We start from the raw sequence: 19,589 nt of genomic DNA on the forward strand, positions 1-19,589 counted from the left end.
TAGCTTATTCCTCCCAAATGTGGATTTTTAAACATCTTCAAACTGACCTCCATTCTTTATACTGCTTAGTGCCTGTTTTCATGTCTAAGCCATGTCATTTTTGTGCTTTTATTGGATTTTAAGAAAAGGGGTTTGAATTAGAAGATTTCAGATGCTTCTCACAGCTCTAAGATTCTGTCTGTGAAATGTGTGTATAATTAATTTCTTTTAAAATTACATTGTTAATGCATTAGCACAGACATCCATGACTAGTCTTTATCAGTTCATTAAGAAATGAATGAGATATATAGCAGGTATAAGATGCAGTCATAGGAAAGATTATTTTTAGGTTGCCTACTGTTAAGTAAGCTATGCAGTGTAAAATTGTCAGAAATATCAGAATAAAATGAACTAGTCTGTATGTGAACAAAGAAACTAAGGGAAAAATAATTGAGGGACTCTTTAGAGTCCCAAAGACACTCAATAATATCCATAGTTTAATACAATCCTTACTCCTCTGGGTAGGTTTAATAGTCATTGATATTTTTGTTCCTCAAGAGGTGCAGAATTGGGGCCAGGTGTGGTGGCTCACACCTATAATCTCAGCGACTCAGGAGGCTGAGGTAGAAGGATCGCTTGAGGCCAGGAATTCAAGACCAGCCTGGGCAACATAGTGAGACACCCCATCTCTTCAAAAAAAAAATTAAAAAATTAGCCAGGCATGGTGGTGTGCACCTGTAGTCCCAGTTACTCGGGCGGCTGAGGCAGGAGGATTGCTTGAGTCCAGGAGTTCAAGGTTACAGTGAACTATGATTGTACCAGTGCACTCCAGCCTGGGTGACAGAGTGAGACCCTGTCTCTAAAACAATAAAAAAGGAGGTGCAGAATTTTATTATAGATTACTGTGCTATGTATTTTCGGAAATCGTACTTTTAGGTAAAAGGTACAGTTTCCAGGAGAAGAGGCCAAAACAAACTATGAATTGCAGCGACCTAATCTTTCGTTTATATTACTCCACCTGCTACTGTTTCCTCCAATGAGCTGTTTTTTGAGTTGAGCTTAATGCCATGACACCCCCTGAGTATAAATGGCAGTCTTGACCCAACATGAGTAGGTGGAGCCTTTGTTTTCCAGTTTTCATGGGTGCCAATGGGCTTGGACTGAGCCCTGCCCACTTTGACCTCCCATATCTGGTACCCAGTGACCAGAATAAGGCTTGTTGTCACTGACTCTAGAACACACCTTTCCAAGCTCCCAAATCTACAATGCAGGCTCAGGGGCTAGGAATGAAGACTCATTGTCATAGTCTGTTTGGGCTGCTGTAACAAAATATCATAAATGAGGTGGTTTATAAACAACAGAAATTCTTTCTCACAGTTCTGGAGGTTGGGAAATCCAACATCAAGGCCCCAGCAGATTCAGTGTCTGGTGAGGGCTTGCTTCCTGGTTCATAGATTAGCTGTCTTTTCATTGTAACCTGACATCATGGAAGCAACAAGAGAGCTCTCTTGGGCTTCTTTGAGAAGAGCACTAATCCCATTCACTAGAGCTCTACCCTCATGACCTGATCACTTCCCAAAGGCCCCACTTCCTCATACTACACCTTGGGGATTAGAATTTCAACATAGAAATTTTGGGGGGATACAGATATTCAGTTCATAGCACTTATATGGCTTGAAAATATGTCAATAATTTGCTATCTTTTAGTAAACATTTGTTTTTAAAAGTTTGAGAATTATAAAATATAGGACAAAACCCTGGATCTTTCATTCCTATCCTTGATTTAATAAAGCTTTAGTACACAAAAATGTCATATATTTGCTTACAATTCACAAATTCTGTGGTGCCAATAATTTATGAATAGGGCATAACTAAGCAGCATAGAGAAGTCCTGGGAAAATTGGACATAGTGTGCCTGGCCTGTTAAAAGATAGCTATTTGAGCCGGGCACGGTAGCTCATGCCTGTAATCCCAGCACTTTAGGAGGCCGAGATGGGAGGATCACTTGAGATCAGGAGCTCAAGACCAGCCTAGGTAACATAGGGAGACCTTGTCTTTACAAAAAAAAAACAAAAAACAAAAAACAAAAAAAAACTAGCTGGGTTGTGGCAGTAGTCCCAGCTACTTGGCAGGCTGAAGTGGGAGGGATCACTTGAGCCTGGGACGTTGAGGCTGCAGTGAACCACAGTCGCACCACTGCACTCCAGCCTGGGCAACAAAGTGGGACCCTATCTAAATAAATAAATGCATGAATGAGAGAGAGAGAAATAGAGAAAGATAGCCGTTTGAAATGTGAGGCCACTGTCAGAGTTGCGAGGGGCAATCTTAAAGGCTCCAAGAAAGGATGAACCAGTAGATATTGTTAGCATTTCAGCCAGAGACATCACATCATTGATTTAGTTCATCTAAGAACAAGGGTGCCAGTAAGAACCACCAGAATTAGTTTCCAGAGGTTTCTGAAGCAGTAATATTCTGATGGGATTCCTTAGAGGAGAGTTGTGTGTTTCTGAGAGCAATCCTTAAGATGGAGAGAGAAGCAAATCTTAATCCACGGTATCTGAGCATAATTCCTTAAGTCAGCTAATATAATAGCCTGGTGAAGAAAACAGTTTCAGGTGGAGTTTGGACAGTCCTGGATTGACCATTGTTCTAATTGAAAAGCCTGGTGCTAGTCTAGTAGTAAAGCTAAACTAAAAAATAAACTTCTCTACCAGTGATCCTGATGTGATCATTCTGGAGATGTGAAGATTTGTCATGATAGTGTGCACACAGCACTCTGATTGAAGAATAGGTTTTTAAGTAAACCAACTTAAATACAAGCATGCTGGGTAGTACTATTTGGCTTTGCTTCATTGAGTAGGTGATGAATATTTTACTGTGTTTTTACATTAGAGTTCTGGCGCATGGTAGGCACTCAGCACATGCCTGCTGTTAGGGTAATTATTATCACTTCCAGATCATCTCATGGCCACAACACACCAGCTACTGGCTAGAACCTGCTGGCAATAGTAATAGTCTTCACTGGAATTCTGCAAAATCCCATCAAGAATTACCTAAAACAATCAAGACGATCTGTGGTTTTGCTCCCTCACTCTGCCAATATGGTGAATTACAGTAATTGATTTGTTTTGTAACATAGATTTTCATATGTTAAGCCAGGCTTACATTCGTAAAGTAAACCCCACTTGGTCATGTTGTGTTACCTTTTTAAAATGTATTGCCAGGTTCAGCTTGCTCATTTACACTGGTAAGAAGTCAGGCGTGCTGTAATCCCAGCACTTTGGGAGGCTGAGGCGAGTGGATCACGAGGTCAGGAGTTGGAGACCAGCCTGGCCAACATGGTGAAACCCCGTCTCTACTAAAAATACAAAAATTAGTCGGGCGTGGTGGTGCGCACCTGTAATCCCAGCTACTCAGGAGGCTGAGGCAGGAGAATCACTTGAACCCTGGTGGTGGAGGTTGCAGTGAGCCGAGATGGCGCCATGGTGCTATTGCACTCCAGCCTGGGGGACAGAGAGAGACTCCGTCTCAAAAAAAAAAAATTCAGGGGTGTATGGTCATGGAGTTGTCTTTGTAGGAAGGTTCTTAACTAGGAGTTGTTTATTTAATAGATGCAGAGCTATTCGGATTTTCTATTCTTCTTGAGTCACTTTGGGTACATGTTATGACTGGATGTACTGCTCCCCTTACCCCCGACCTGGGATGTGGCTGCAGCGGGGAAGCTGGCACAATAGAGGGCTCCCCTCATTTGTTTCCCTTCTCTCAGGGTCACAGTCCAGTACTGCCTGTTGCCAGTGTCTGAAAACAGTCATTTCTTATATTGTATCCAGCTTGCTAGATGTTTCTGACAGAAGGGTGAGTCTGGGCTCTGTCCTGCCGCCATGGTGAGAAGTGGAAGCTACATAAGCTTTTCTGGGCATTGAGTACAACAAATTTAGTTGCTGCTGGTTGTTTCTCAGCCAGATCTATAAGTTTGGACCTAAAACTGTAGGTAGTTGAACTTTACATGGGCTCAGTCTTCCTTTAAATCTTTGACTATATTCCAAGTTGTAGTTTCGCTGTCTTTCATAAAAAAGTAATATTACTTTTAGAAATTGGACTCTATGACTAAACCTTATTTTTCTCTTCATTTAAGTTTCCTTCAGCATTCGAGTTTAATGAGCTATTCTTGATTACAATTTTGGATCACCTTTATAGCTGTCTTTTTGGGACCTTTTTGTGCAACTGTGAACAGCAGCGATTCAAAGAGGTGAGTATGCTGCATCCTTGTCTGTTGCTTTCCCTGTGGCTCAGGCACCTCTCCTCGGAAGTGCTACTGTAGGAGGGCTGAGGGGAGGGAGGACTGCGCTCTGGTGCTATTGCTGACTGTAAATGCCCTCCCAGGGTTCTGGCCAGCCCCACCGCATGTGTCTAACACAAGCCCCTTCCTTTCTAGGCATGGGGGGCTGGGACCCAGCGAGCCCGTGGCTCTCTCAGGAGTAGATGAGTGCTAGACCCTGGACCTCCTGACTCCGAGTTCATGTAGTCTCCGCTGCACCAACTCCAAAACCGTGGGATTCTGCTTTTCATCCTCTGTGGTGTTGGCCAGATCATACTTGAAGGCCTTGGAAATGGAGTCTGCTGATTAGCCAAAAAGCCCACTTTAGGTAGCAAGCTAACACTTTTTTACATCAAAGTAGTAAAGAAGCAGTTACCAAACTTCTCAGAGTTACATCTCATTTCTTTCTTTTTCCCTCAGTGTGGGATAAAAGAGAAACGTGGTCAAAAGTGAGAAGGCATTGGAAAAAGGCAGCTTAAGGAGTATATGATCCTGTTAATAGACAAGGACCAATGCCTGTGAGCCAAGTATGTTAGGACAGTATAGAATTCAGGAGAAAGCAGTCTGTCAGTAACGCCCGCCTCCCCCTCTCTCAGCAGCCTCCCCACAGTTGACAGTGCCCTCATTCTGTGACCCCACCTGGTCCTGCCTCTTTCCTGCCTCCTCGGCCTCCCCTGCTCAGTCTCCTCTGACTGGCTGCCATTTTAACCAGTCTCTAAAGTTGGAGTCACCTGGGCCCAGTCCCAGGTCCTCTTCTCCCCTCAACTCTTGTTCCGTCTTTCTAAGTGACTTTGTCTCGCCTCAGGGACCTAAATGCCTTTTCCTGCTCCTCCCCTGCTCTTTTGCATCTCAGTACACAGCACCACTGGCCATCCAGATGCCGAGGCCAAATACACGGGAGCCACCTTCCACTCCTCCCTCACCCTCACCCTAGCTACCACATCCAGTCCCCTGGTGAATGCTGCTGGCCTTGTCCCAAAGTATATTCTTTTTCTTTCTTTTTTTTTTTTTTTTTTTTTTTTTGACGGCGTTTTGTTCTTGTTGCCCAGGATGTAGTGCAGTGGCGCCATCTCAGCTCACTGCAAGCTCCGCCTACCACATTCAAGTGATTCTCCTGCCGCAGCCTCCCGAGTAGCTGGGATTATAGGCACCCGCCACCACGCCCGGCTAATTTTTTGTATGTTTAGTAGAGACAGGGTTTCGCCATGTTGGGCAGGCTGGTCTCAAACTCCTGACCTCAGGTGATCTGCCCGTCTCAGCCTCCCAAAGTGCTAGGATTATTGGCCCAAAGTATATTCTTAATCTGCCAGTTCTTAACTGCCTTACAGCTATAAGCCTAGCTCAAGCCCCTACTGTCTCACACTCCTACTGTCTCACATCTGGACTAAGGCAGAAACCCAGGAATGGGCTTCCCTGATTCTCTTTCTGACCTTCAGTAGTCCATTCTAAACATAGCAACCACAGCGAGCATTCAGTAACTGAAATGTGATCATGTGCCTCTCCCCTGCTTCCCACTGCAGTTAGAGTAAAATCCACACTCCTGCGGGCCCAGTGTGATGGGGACTTGCTAACCTCCTAATAAAAAGAAAAACATTTTTAAAAGAGTGAGTTTTGTGTTACGTGAATTATATCTCAAAGCTATTTAAAACAAATAAAATCAGAAGCAGAAGAATGAAGTTCATATATAGAATTTTAACCATGGCTTTATCTTGTTTTTTTTTTTTTTTTTTTTTTTTGAGAGGGGGAGTGCAAAATTCATTCTTAAAAAAATGAGCTCTCTTGACACATAATTTACATACCATAAAATTCACCCATCTAAAATGTACAATTTCATGGTTCTAGCATATTCACATATTGTGCAGCCATCATCAATATTTAATTTCATAAAATCTCTTTATTTCTATTTTTTGTAGCGATTGGGGTCTTGCTGTGTTGCCCAGGCTGGTCTCAAACTCCTGGCCTCAAGTGATGTTCCCGCCTCGGCCTCCCAAAGTGCTGGGATTATAGGTGTAAGCCACTGTGCCTGGCCTAAGTTTATAAAATTTCTGTCACCCCCAAAAGAAATGGCATACTTGGTAGCAATCACTTCCCATTTCCCCCACCCCTATCCCCTAGCAACCATCAATCTGCTTTCTGTCTCTACGGATTTGCCAATTCTGGACATTTCATAGAAATGGAATTATACAATAGGTGAACTTATATGACTGTCTTCCTTTGCTTAGCGTAATGTTTTCAAGGTTCATCTATGCACCAATACATCCTTTTTATGGCTGAGCAATATTCCGTTATATGGATAGACCACATTTTGTTTATCCATTCATTGGTTGATAGAAATTTGGATTGTTTCCACATTTTGGTTTTTAGGAATAATGCTACTATAACTATTCATGTACAGGTTTTTATGTGGACATACGCCTTCATTCATTTATACCTACGAGTGGAATTGCCGGGTCATGTGGCAATTATGTTTAACCTATTGAGGAACTGCCAGATTGTTTTCCAAAGCAGTTGCACACACGAGCAATGTCTGAGGCTTCCAATTTCTCCACATTTCACCAACGCTTACTATTTTCCTTTTTAAAAAAATTATAGCCATCCTAGTGAGTGGGAAGTGGTATGTTGTGGTTTTAGATTTGCATTTCCCCAACGACTAATGATGTTGAGCATATTTCCATGTGCTTATTGGCCATTTGCATATCTTCTGTGGAGAATGTGTATTCAGCTCCTTAGTTCATTTTAAAATTGTGGTGTTTGTCCTTTTTATTATGGAGTTGTAAGAGTTCCTTATACATTCTTTATATATTCAAGTCCCTTATAAGATACATGATTTGCAAAAATTTTCTCCCACTCTAGGGGTTGTTTTTTTTTACTTTCTTCATGGTGTTCTTTGAAGCACAAAAGTTTTTAATTTTGATGAACTGCAATTTATCTATTTTTTCTCTTGCTGCTTACACTTTTGGTATCATATCTAAGAAACCATTGCTTAACCCAAAGTCATGAAGATTTGCTCCTGTTTTCTTCTAAGAGCTTTATACTTTTAGGTCTTACATTTAGGTCTGTGATCTGTTCTGAGGTAACGTTTGTATACGGTGTGAATTAAGGATCCAACTTCATTCTTTTGTGTGTTGGCTATCTAGCTGTCCCAGCACCATTTGTTGGAAAGATTTTCTTTCCCTCATTCAATTTTCTTGCCAACCTTGTTGAAGATCAGTTGACCGTAAATGTCAGAGAGTTCATTTCTGTGCTTTCTATTCTGTTCCATTGATCTGCATGTCTGTCCTTACGCCAGCACTGCTGGCATTGATTACTGTAGCTTTGTGGTAAGTTTTGAAAATGGGAAGTATGAGTCCTCCTACTTTGTTCTTTTTCAGGATTATTTTAGCTATTCCAGATCCTTTGAATTTTTGTTGGTGTTTCTCTTATAAATAAATAAATGTATACAAATTGAAATGGTCCTAATTGAATGTTCCTGTATTTAGATAGCTCATGGGAAGTCAGCAGCAGAGTGGGAGAAAATGCTGTTGGCCTTGCCGTTTTCTCATTTGACTTTGTCATTGTGCTTGATCCATTGTTTAACGTTTACCTGCCTCACCATGCCTGCACATTTGGGTGTTTTTGTTCAGATGAGCAATGCAAGTAGGTACAGTGTTTCTGAATAGTGTACTACAAAATTAGGGGAAGAAGAGATAACTTAGTGATATATTTACTTGTCTTTATAGAGCTTCTCCAGCCTGCACCACAGCACATTGTCCTCCAGATAGCTATGATTTTCCAGCACAAGGAACCTTAACTGTAAAATCTATTCTCATTTCTCAATATTAAGAGTCACAGCCAGGTGAGGTGGCTCATGCCTGTAATCCCAGCACTCTGGGAGGCCGAGGTGGGAGGATCACTTGAGGTCAAGAGTTCGAAACCAGCCTGGGCAACACAGTGAATCCCCATCTCCGCCAAAAAATACAAAAATTAGCCGGGCATGGTGGCGTGCGCCTGTAGTCCCCAGCTACTCGGGAGGCTGAGGCAGGAAAATTGCTTGAACCCGGGAGGCAGACATTGCAGTGAGCTGAGATCATGCCACTGCACTCCAGCCTGGGTGACAGAGTGAGACTCCATCTCAAAAAAAAAAAAAAAAAAAGGAGTCACAAAAGCTCTATTTTCTTTTAGAGGCAGGGTCTTGCTCTATTGCCCAGGCTGGAGTACAGCGGCACAATCATAGCTCACTACAGCCTCAAACTCCTGGCCTCAAGCAATTCTGCCACCTCAGCCTCCTGAGGAGCTGGGACTATACTTGGCTAATCTTTAAATTTATTTTTTTTGTAGAGACAAAGTCTCACTGTGTTGCCCAGGCTAGTCTCAAACTCCTGCCTCAAGCAGTCCTCGCAATGTGGCCTCCCAAAGTGCTGGCCTTATAGGCTTGAGCTACTGTGCCCAGCCTACAAAAGCAAACCTTACACCAGAATTCAAAATTATATTTGTTATTGGTGGGTCCTATCATCCTGTGGTTGTTAGAAAGTTCTCACTCTGCCTTTCCATAGACACAGTTGTCGGATGCTACCTAACTTCAGCAATATGTTTTTCCAGGACAGCAAGCAGTGTGTTTTCATTTCATCCCACCATGAGGCCATGAGTGGGAAGAAGGTGGGGCTGGGACCTAGTAGACATTCATGAATTTTTCAGCGTTTGAATTCACTTCATTATTCAAGTCCTTTTCTCGGTGTAATACTAATTCTTGATGATATGAAGAAAAGTTTATTTCCAATGTTCTTTTTTGTTTTTCAGGATGTATATACAAAGACGATATCTTTATGGTCGTATATCAATAGCCAGCTAGACGAGTTTTCTAATCCCTTCTTTGTGAATTATGAAAACCACGTGTTATATCCTGTTGCTAGTCTGAGTCATTTGGAATTGTGGGTAAATTATTATGTACGATGGAATCCACGGATGAGACCTCAGGTATCTTTTTGTTTTTCTTTTCATGAATGAGAGAGTTTGCCTTTTTTTCCAAGTAAAGATGGTGGTATGAAAATGTGTTAATGGTAGATATTAACATACCATACTGACCGTCTTCTGCCCTCTCCTGTCAGGGTTCAATCCTTTGCATTCATGTTCCAGGAGGTTCCACCCATACGCCAACTCTGATGATGTTTGCTGGGTTACAGTTAAAAAGTCTTAGCACTTCTGTCTCGTACTGATGAGGTACATAAAATGCTATGTGCTCCAGTGCTTGGCCCTTCTTCTTATAAACTACTTTACCTGCAGATATGGGGGTTGGGGTGGCAGCCCTTTTCCCTGTTTCCACGTAGAGGTGGTAGAAAGGCGTGTGGAAGATGCATCAGGGCTACAGTGTATAGACCCTGTTAGTCCAGCAGTAGGAGGGCAGGTGCTTGAATCACAGAACAGGTGCCCCTTTGAAGAAGGGGGAGAGTTTGCCCCTCCCCACCACACTTTTTCACTGTAATATTTTCTGAGATTGAACAAAATTAGAGAATGGTGCACTACAGGGGCCAGTCCGCCAAGCCTGTGTCCTCTCTTTGTGTTCAGTGGCTGAGCTCTGGCTGCGGGTTCCTGAAGGGCTCCCCACATCCTCCACTGTGTCGTGGTTTGGATTCAGTCCTGCCCCGCACCCCCAGTCTCCACATGGGTGGCCAGGGCATGGTTGGTTCTGGGTGGTGAAGAAGACAGATAGAGGCAGCCTGTACCTCCATGGACAGATAACTGTCTGCTGAGACTTTTTTCTTTTTTATTTATTTATTTTTTGAGACGGAGTCTTGCTCGTCACCCAGGCTGGAGTGCAGTGGCATGAGCTTGGCTCACTGCAACCCCTGCCTCCCAGGCTCAAGTGATTCTCCTGCTCTGGCCTCCCAAGTAGCTGGGATTACAGGTGTACAGCACCATGCCTGGCTAATTTTTGTATTTTTAGTAGAGACGGGATTTCACCATGTTGGCCTGGCTGGTCTCAAACTCCTGACCTCAAGTGATCCGCCCGCCTCGGCCTCCCAAAGTGCTGGGATTATGGGTGTGCACCACTGCGCCAGGCCTGAGATTTTTCTTTTGACTTGAATACTCTCAGAGTTTAACTGCAGTCCATCAGGAGCGTGTACCCAGGGCATTGTTTAATAGCATTGCTCTGTCAGCCAATGATACAGAAATCTGCCTTCCTCTCCATCCTCCTGCTCCCTCATCCCTCTCACCTAGGGTCTTCATGATCTCTAGATCGTCTCCACACTCCACTAGCCATGGGGCAGTCTGAACTGCTCATGTTCCTTTTCAGCTGCCTGGCCCTGGAACCTCAAGGATACGTCACTATAGTACCCCGGCCTGCCAGCTGGAAAGCTCCCTCACTGGTGGCCTTAGCTCCATGCTCCATCTGCTGGGTGCGCCCCGCTGCCCCAGGCCGCTGCTTGGCCACTCCTCACTGGATCCTTTGCCCTCTACCACAGACCAGGCTAGTCATCACTTGCCTCTTCTTTCCTAGATGGCTTTCTATTTTGTTCCACAAAGCTTCCACTGCAAATGCTTTTCTCCTCTGGACCCTCTGAGTTGGCCCTGCCACCCTTACGACCTCAGGAGTGTTTTCCAGAACACTGTGATGGGTGCTCATTCAGCCTAGTACTTGTACGCTGGGCCTGGGGAGTTGGGAAGGAGTCCTGGCTGCAGGGGTGCTCCTGCATCCTAGGGTGCCCTTAGCCACATCTCCCCTGTACACGCCCTGCCCCTGCTTGAAGCAGATCCCCCGTGTGAATGAGCCGCCCTTTGTGTCTTCACATGTATGAAAACAACTAGTGTTTGATCACCTCTTTCAGCTCTTCCCAGAGTCTTCCTTGGATAGGAGAGACTTGCATCTGTGTCCCTCTCCCACTAGCCAGGGAGCTGCTGGGACTTGTGCTGCCCTGGAGCCTTTCCCGTTGAGCGCCCTCTTCCCTGCTCACCTAGTGCTCTGGCGGCCCTATGTTGATTGCCCAAACTAGCGTACTTTGAGAAAGAGAGTGGAGGCGCTGCTAATAATCAGTCTGTAGAATTCCCCAAGACACTCGATACTGCACCGGCCTGTTTGCCTGCCTGCTGCCCCTACACACCACAGGCTTTGAAACCACAGGGCCCTCAGGATCTAGCATGGTGTTTGGCAACTAACGGAGACTCGACAGATGTGACTGAATGAACGCATGAGTGAATGAAGAGGTGCGCCCCTCTGCTGCAGGCCAGTTCCCCCTGCACATCTGCTCTCTCCAGCCCCTTGAACCTGCATTTATTCCTTCTCCCTGTGGTGGCTCTTGCCCCTCAGCCTACAGAGGACTCACACCTGCCCACCCTAAACCTGTCCTGTCCCCACTGGCCTCTCCCTCAGGTCTCCCCTCCACACCCAGTCCTCTGGGATATTGGGACAGCTTTCTACCTACTCTCCCCGCCTCAGTCTGCCTTGTGTCCACGCTCCACCTTCCTCCAGAGAGGCCTTTTGCTCCTGCCTAACAGCCCAGACATCACCTTCTGTGGCTGCCCGATGGCTCCAGCTCCCCACGCCCTCTGCCACTTGGCCACCACCTGAGCTCCTGGCATCAACTTAGCTTCCTTCTTCCTCTTTTTAAAAAAATTTACATTTCTGGCCGGGCACAGTAACTTACGCCTGTAATCCTAGCACTTTGGGAGGCCGAGGTGGGCAGATCACGAGGCAGAAGTTTGAGACCAGCCTGACCAACATGGCAAAACCCTGTCTCTACTAAAAATACAAAAATTAGCCAGGTGTGGTGGTGCACGCCTATAATCCCAGCTACTCAGGAGGCCGAGGCAGAAGAATCGCTTGAACCTGGGAGGCGGAGGTTGTAGTGAGCTGAGATGAGATTGCACCACTGCATTCCAGCCTGGGCGACAGAGTGAGACTCCGTCTCAAAAAAAAAAAAAAAAATTACATTTATCTCTCCCTTTAGACTTTGTGCTCTGCAAGACATGTCCCTGCTTGTTATTAATTGATCTTTAAGTTATTAATCTAATAACTGCTTGTCACTAGATTGAATCCTTCCCCAGATGAGAACTGAGTTTGAAGGCGAGCTGTCTTTGAAATGGTCCATGTGCCCAGGAACTATGAGTGAGCGTGAGAGGTTGCTGGTCCCATTAGCATCTTCTTTCCTGGCTTTCAGCCCAAGAAGTCTATGTGCAGGGTGACCTGCTGCCCTGTCACTGGAGTCCAGGTCCAGCACTGTCCTCCTTTCTGACTTCAGGTGCATTATTTGAGATGCTAAACACAGGGGCCCATCAAGCACTTCTTTCCAGTCAGTGGTCAACTTGGGAACCAAAGCCTACATCCCCCTTCCAGCACCTTCCTCTTCACTGATGTGTATTTCTACTTAGGCATCTTGCTGAGTTATTCTGTCCTGGGTGGCTTCTATTTCATCTATTTTGGCAACAGGGAAGATGGGCTACAGAGTGTCAGAAGTCACTATGTTACTGAAATCACATAGGGTTACCAGGTGATATTCTTGGTGACTCAAAGGCCCGGGTGGTTGGTGGAGTGTCATGAACATTAGCAGAAAATCCAACAGAACCATGCCTGATCTGGAGTGCCTTTGGCTAAACAGAGCCTCTCGATTACTGCAGGAGACCCCCGTACCCCTGCCACGCTCCCCCTTGTGCAGCAGGTTGCAGAGGTGAAGAAATGCTGAACCAGCAGAGAGGGTTAGAGTGGTGTCCCACAGGGGTGCACCCAGGCTCAGATTCTTGCCCGCCGCGTGAGGCAGGTAACAGACCTTTCCTAAAACCTACAAACTGCGCGACAGATCTGTTCCCAGATGTGGTCAGGTTCTCACTCATGTAGGCGAAGCCACCTGCAACATCATGATGATGATGGAAACCACAGCGACAGCGCCTATAACCTGCAGTCCTCTTGTGTGCCAGTGGGTTCTGTACACACATGATCCCAGTTAACGCTCCCAGCAATTCCACGACGTAGAGAATGAGGGAAGGGTCAGAGAAGCAGTGACTTGGTTGAAATCTTGCTGCCCAGTGCGTGTAGTTGTGGAAGGATGCCCCCGACAGGGCCAGATCCCGTCTCTGGCAGTGACTCACCGCCTGATCTGCAGCAGGGTCCTGAGCCTCACGGGGACCTCACAGGGGGTTGCTGAGCAGGAAGTGAATCCATTCCAAGTGCACTGTGCTCGGAGGGTAGTAGGTGTGTGGTCCTGCTTTTTGCATTCTCCCTCCATTGTGCTACACAGAAGAGAGAACCAAAAAAGAGTACATGGGCCGCAGCTTGTTATCCTGTATGCAACAGGCATGTGTCGGACACCTCCTAGGTGTGGGAATGGGGGTGGGGGAGTGCATTGAAGACAGGCAGAGATCAGTGGCTGGTGTGGGTGTCCAGTGACAGGGCCTGAGGAGCCAGGTGAGGCAGAGAGAAGGAGGAAGAGAGGGGAGGGGAGGGAGTGCAGGGGGGTAAACGACAGGGCAGATGCAAGCCTGTTGGGCCTCTTTTCTCTGAGAAGGCAGTGGCTCGATTGGCTGCCGAGAAAGGGGTTCTTTGGGCATCCATCAGAGGATGGCTGGGTGTGGAAGGCCCAGGGGCGTCCTATTTCCTTTGGGACTGTCTTGCCTTATGTCTTGTGATGCTAGTACCCATGCGGCAAACATGACTGGCCCTTAGATGGGAATTTTCTCTAACACAATCCTCTGTTTAAGCCTCCGAGTTTTCTATTCCTTCAGGCATGCCCTTGATTTGTTGCAAATGAAAATATGTGAGTAGGCCAGGCGCGGTGGCTCACGCCTGTAATCCCAGCAGTTTGGGAGGCCAAGGCGGGCAGATCACTTGAGATCAGGAGTTCGAGACTAGCCTGGCCAACATAGTGAAACCTCATCTCTATTAAAAATACAAAAATTAGCCAGACACAGTGGTGGCGGGCGCCTGTAATCCCAGCTGCTCAGGAGGCTGAGGCAGGAGAATCGCTTGAATTCGGGAGGCGGAGGTTGCAGTGAGCTGAGATCGTGCCGCTGCACTCCAGCCTGGGGGAGAGAGTGAGACTGCATTCCGCCTCAAAAAAAAAAAAAAAAAGAAAAAGAAAAGAAATAGGTGAGAAAAGATGCAAACAGCTGGTGAAGAGATGATAGTGGTGCGTTTGAGCAGTGCTGGGTCTGCCCTGGGTGTGTGTCAGTGGTGTATTTCCCTGCGTGTCTTGCTTCTTGCTGAGGTCACATGCCTGTAGATGGATAATGGGAACTTGATTGCAAGGCGTCCCTTGTCTGATCAGAATTAAATGATCCTACAGACAGGAAAACGCATGCCAGATGGGTCCTAAGGGTAAGAGAGGAGCTGGTGCCACCTCCCAGAGGCCTGTGGGATCTGCCTTTGCCATCACACTCCACTCCTGTCCCCTCTGTTCTTCCTGTGGCCTGCCCAAGGGGGTCATTTCTTCTCAGCCCACTGGGTGCTGGTTACTGAGCACCTTGTTATTAGAGGGACCTGGCTGCCCCCTTGCGGTCTCGCTCTCATCCTCCTTCCGTCTCCCCCTTCCCTCCAGGAGGGCTGATCACCATTGGCACACACGGTGGAACAGCTCAGTCTTTGAGGGAGTGGGGGAAGGACCTGGTGAAAGATGAGCCAGAGGGCCAGGCTGGGGCCAGACTGCAGAGGGCCTCGAGGCCCCTCTCAGGGCAGGGGGAAGAAGTCCCTGGAAGGTGTTAAGTGGCCAGTCACATGGCCTGGCTGAGGCTTAGGAGCCAGCCCTGTGGCTGCTGTTTACACATGGGATCAGAGACAAGGGAAGGCTAGGGAGCTCCCCAGACCCCACCCTGTTTCTCCCTCAGCCCAGTCGGTGACCCCTCACTCTGGTCAGCCTTGCCCCCAGCCAAAGAGCTCCAGGTGAGAAAAGCTGGGTCTCGGATGTCTGGCCTCCTAGTAGCTGCTGGGGACAGCTTGTTAGGCGAGTGGGTTGGGTGCTATGACTATAAAATAGCAGGACTGGATGTCCCATATGCCCCGGGAAAACCTTTCTTGTTTATATTCACCCCTGCCCCACAGTTGATGGGTTTAAAAGAGAAAAGCTAATTAAAGGTGAGGCCTTGCGGTGATGCTGAGCAAGGAGGGAGGGGTTGGTCCTTGGGGAGGCTCCCCACCCCCCTGCCGGCACTGCCCGCTCCGGGGGGCTTCTGGCAGATCCTGCTCCGGTTGATGAAAACACAGCTTCAAGTTGTAAAAAGTGCTGATTTAACAGAAGGATTTTCAGTCAGCAGAGCTATTTATAAAAATGCAAAAATACAGAGATAATGGAGATGCTGGAAAGGGGTCTGCGTGGAAACATTTCTGACGCACAGTCTTTAGGACACTGCTCGTGCCGAGTCTGCACACGGCGCCCTCGGTTGATCCATGGTGCGCAGTGTCCCCGTGCCTGCTTGTCTTCTGAGAAACTGTGGGAGCCTCCCCATGGTGCCTTTTCATCCCGGCTCAGCGGCTCGGCCCCCGGAGCTGCAGGGCGGCCTCAGTGGCAGCCAAAGCTCATGGGATGGGGTCCCATTGTCCACCTGACGCGAGATCGGTCAACGCCTCAGGAGACTTTGGCCGCTCCAGGAGTCTGGATGGTGAAAAGCTCCTGAAGCCAACAGCATCTCCATGTGGAAACGCTGTGGTAGGAGGATGGCCTGATAATGCAGCTTTGTCTCTGCTCCCTCCAGATGCCCATTCACCAGAATCTCAAGGAGCTGCTGGCCGTCAGGGCGGAGCTGCAGAAGCGTGTGGAGGGCCTACAGCGGGAGGTGGCCACGCGCGCCGTCTCATCCTCATCTGAGCGGGGCTCCTCGCCCTCCCACTCCGCCACCTCCGTCCACACCTCGGTCTGATGGGCGAGGTCAGCCTGCTGCTCCACTGTCTCCCGGTGGCTCAGGAAAGGGACCTGGCGATCACTGTTATGGCTGTAGCTTGTGATCTTGTCTTTTAGGATTAGGCCCAGGGACCATTTGTGTGGCTAGGTGACAGCTCCCACTGTTGGCAACCGTTACCCTCCTGTCAGCGGTTTCACAGGGGAGCCGTCTGTCACGCCCACCCTGTGAAGCAACTTCTGGCATTCAGGCAGCTTGGGAGAAACTAAGTGAACGGAATGCAGTACTGAGGTTCAAGAAAGCTGTACGCCATTTCTTTCCAACTTAAATCCTTCAGTAACAACAAACACCACTCACTTCAAGATGCATTGCCAGCCCCGTGGCTTCCCTCAGCTCTTGGCCACAACTTGAAAACTGTCTTGAATGAAGTACTTGGGGAGAAGACAGGCCACTGCCCTCTGTTCCACAGTTTTCTTCATGCACGGGGTCCTCCTGTTAACAATTACTGTTGTGTACATATAAGGTATTTTTAGAGAAGAGAAACAGGCCTTTATTTTCCTATGTCCTTTTTTACGTTTAGAATAGTCACCCGAGGGGGGATCAGCTCAACTGTACTGTGGGAGAAATTCTTTTCCAACAAACCTCATGCTCGTTTTTCTGTGGTGCAATTTCAAGGGCAACGTGTTCTGTCCTCACCTCACTCTGGTACTCGCCTCTTGGGGCGGCTCAGCCCATTCATGGGGATGGCACCAAGCGGCCATGCTCAGTCTTCCAGCCCCGCTGAGGGTAAACCGAGGCCTCTGGCAGCTGTGCACAGGTGCTGGCCTCTGGCTCCTTCAAGGAGCACTGCCTGTCACTCGCTCCTGGGCTGTCTAGCCATGTCTCCCACCCCCACTTTACCGCAGCCAGCTGCTGGGATCAAAGCAAGTCTGTTCTTATGTTATTTGCCTGTATGAAATCATTTCTCATTTTATCACAATTCCTTCAACTCAGCTTACTCGCGTGGCTGCCTGTTCATATTTGAAAGCAGCCACCGTGCTGTGGCTTTGGTTTGGAAAAGCATAGCACGCACTTCCCTTGGTTTTCCCTTCCCAGAGCCGACCGCAGCTGGTCAGCCCTCTCTTCCCGCTCCTGAACCTTTACTTACTGACTTTGAGCTCTGTGACTCCGTCGGTTCTCGCAGGAATTAACTAACTTACCAATTGGTTCAATCCACTTGAGCGCCATAGCTCTGAGCTCCTCTGTGTGACATGCCACAGATGACTATTGCACACCTGGGTCCTGCCCCAGCAGGCCATGCCCCTCCCATGTGCCGTGCCTGTTGCTGCAGCTGCCCCCCCACCCCGCCACTGGCTGCAGGAATTCAGCCTTTAGAGGCAGAGGCAGCTGCAGCGGCCCCTGAGGTCAAACCCCAGTGTGACTGCATAGCAGTGTTAGCTGGTTGGTTTCAAACTACTGGATTCCAGGCAAAGGCCTACAGATTGACCTTATTATTTTTGAAAATATGTTAAGGGTTTTTTCGTAGAGAGAGAAAGAATGGATTTTTTTTTAACTGGGAACCTCCTGATTCTTACGGAAAATTATCCTTCTATAAGAAGATACCAGAGAGATTTATTCAAGGTAATTTGATAACCTAAAATCAATTCTCCATTTTTTATCATATGTGGGATTTGTTGCTAAGTCGTGTTCAACAATAGCTTTTATGTTCCTAACATATCTGAAAGCTTATTTATGAATGGATATACTGGATTATTGATATACTGATTTTTTTTTTAATGGGGACATTTGCCATTTTCTTCCCAGAAATATGTAATCCCCTGGCTGACTAGGACTGTTAAACATAGTGTGGACTGGATGATGCCTTCGACAAACCAGAGAAGCCAAGTTGGGGGGAGCTGGTGCCTGGAGTGGGCCCTGTGCACCTCACCTGGCGGAGGCTGGGGGGGGCTCTGTCAGCAGGACCCTAGAGGAGACTCTCATTCGATTTTAAAGAAGCACAACGGGTCATTTTCCTTTGTATGTTCCTAGCGCAGAACTGTTTCTAAAACAACTTGAAGTATAGTTTTGTTATCTAAGCAATTTTTGTTTTAAGTAAGTAAGTGTACTAGAATGCGAAGCCGTTATGGTTCAGGTTTTTAAAAACTGGTACAGTATTGTATTTGTCTCATCTGTTGCACTGTATTTCAATCATCTGTAATTAAAATGATCATATGTTTGCTCCCTGGTCTTTTTTAAGTAAGTAAGTAAGTATCTTAGTAGATTTTTCCTTTGAGGAAAATCGGTAATAAAATAACATGGATTGAATGTTTACTGTGCGTCAAGCACAGTTAATATATGATGATGTAAAGTAACTAACTTTATGTGATTTAATTCATTCAGTAAATTGTAAATGTATCATGAGTCTTAAGTAAGTAAGTAAGTAAGTAAGTAAGTATTTTGGCTGAAACAGGAAATACTGATTGATTGATTGATTGATTGATTGATGATTGTAAAGTCAGAAACGCCCTCAGCTCTAACCTTGAGAAAACGTGGACGACTTGGGGAAAGGTCTGGAGACACCTGAGAGGAGCCAGTCAGGGTGATGAGTCCTTCGCATGCAAGTGCAGTGCTCTCTAAGGCCTCAGACTGCCCCCACCCCAAAGGAAGGGGCGTTCACCTTTTCAGGGCCACGAAGGCCTGGATGAAATCACACCACCCCCTGTGCCCTCTGTGTGTTGTCGGTCTTCTTGTTAAGGGTGTGGGGTCCCTGTCCCTCTCCACACACGTTACTACTGAGTGAGCCAGAGAGCCCGGTATTCACTGGGCACAGAGGATGCCCAGGGGACTGCTTGCCAGCCAGCCTTCCCCAGCAGTGAGACCATAGCAGCTAGCCATGCAGAACTCCTGCACGAGACAGGCATATGGTGGTCTCGGGTTTGAGAGGACCTGATGCTATTATTTCACTAGAAGCCGAGGTTGGCAAAACAAAATGAAAAAACAAACAACCGACCTCCATGTTAAAACCCAGGGTCCACTGCATCTTGTTTGTTTTCATGCTGAAATGCCCTGAACTGAACTGTCGTCTTCTCAATTTGAAGCCAACATGCGAGCTGATGAGAAGGACATACTTCATCCCAAACGGGCCACTCTCCATGAGGCTGCAACAAGTGACGAGGTGCAGGGCTCCTTTCTCACCCAGCTTTCTGGTTGAAAAACAACTGCGCGTTAACTGGAACCTCCACTGGTTACCAGCCTGCTTGGAAGGCGGCAGAGCAGTCGACTTGGGATTTGTGAGCCTGGGACTTTTTGCTGCTTCCAGGCCCCGGACTGCGCAACCCATGTAGCCCGGGAGCGGCCCCGCAGCACTCTGCTCCTGCCTCTGCCCTCTCTAACCCCAGGACATTGGTCGCTCCACATCCCCTGGCCTTAGCTGCTTGTACGGTGAGGAGTCACCCTTGGAAGTCCTGACACTGAGCCAGTCACTGAGGGGTAAATGCAAGAATTCTAAGCTTCTCGA

The 19,589-nt window shown here is 47.2% G+C and overlaps 1 protein-coding gene across 18 annotated transcripts in view; it reads left to right on the forward strand.

The window, feature by feature from the left end:
- MTMR1 (myotubularin related protein 1) overlaps window positions 1-18,493 on the forward strand; it is a 72,147-nt gene extending 53,654 nt beyond the window's left edge. For 8 of the 18 annotated variants that reach the window (XM_005274765.4, XM_005274766.4, NM_001306144.3 and 5 more), the window contains 3 exons: window positions 4,115-4,228; window positions 9,074-9,250; window positions 15,950-18,493. In XM_005274765.4, coding sequence (XP_005274822.1) covers window positions 4,115-4,228; window positions 9,074-9,250; window positions 15,950-16,114 — 456 coding nt within the window. In that variant the 3' untranslated portion in view covers window positions 16,115-18,493. Of the gene's footprint in view, window positions 1-4,114; window positions 4,229-4,414; window positions 4,626-9,073; window positions 9,251-15,949 lie in introns of those variants that run through there. The other 10 variants (NM_001353992.1, NM_001353991.1, NM_001353994.1 and 7 more) reach the window with 5 other exon arrangements.

The sequence above is a fragment of the Homo sapiens genome, chromosome X, assembly GCF_000001405.40.
Source record: "Homo sapiens chromosome X, GRCh38.p14 Primary Assembly".
In the NCBI taxonomy this organism is placed as follows: Eukaryota; Metazoa; Chordata; class Mammalia; order Primates; family Hominidae; genus Homo; species Homo sapiens.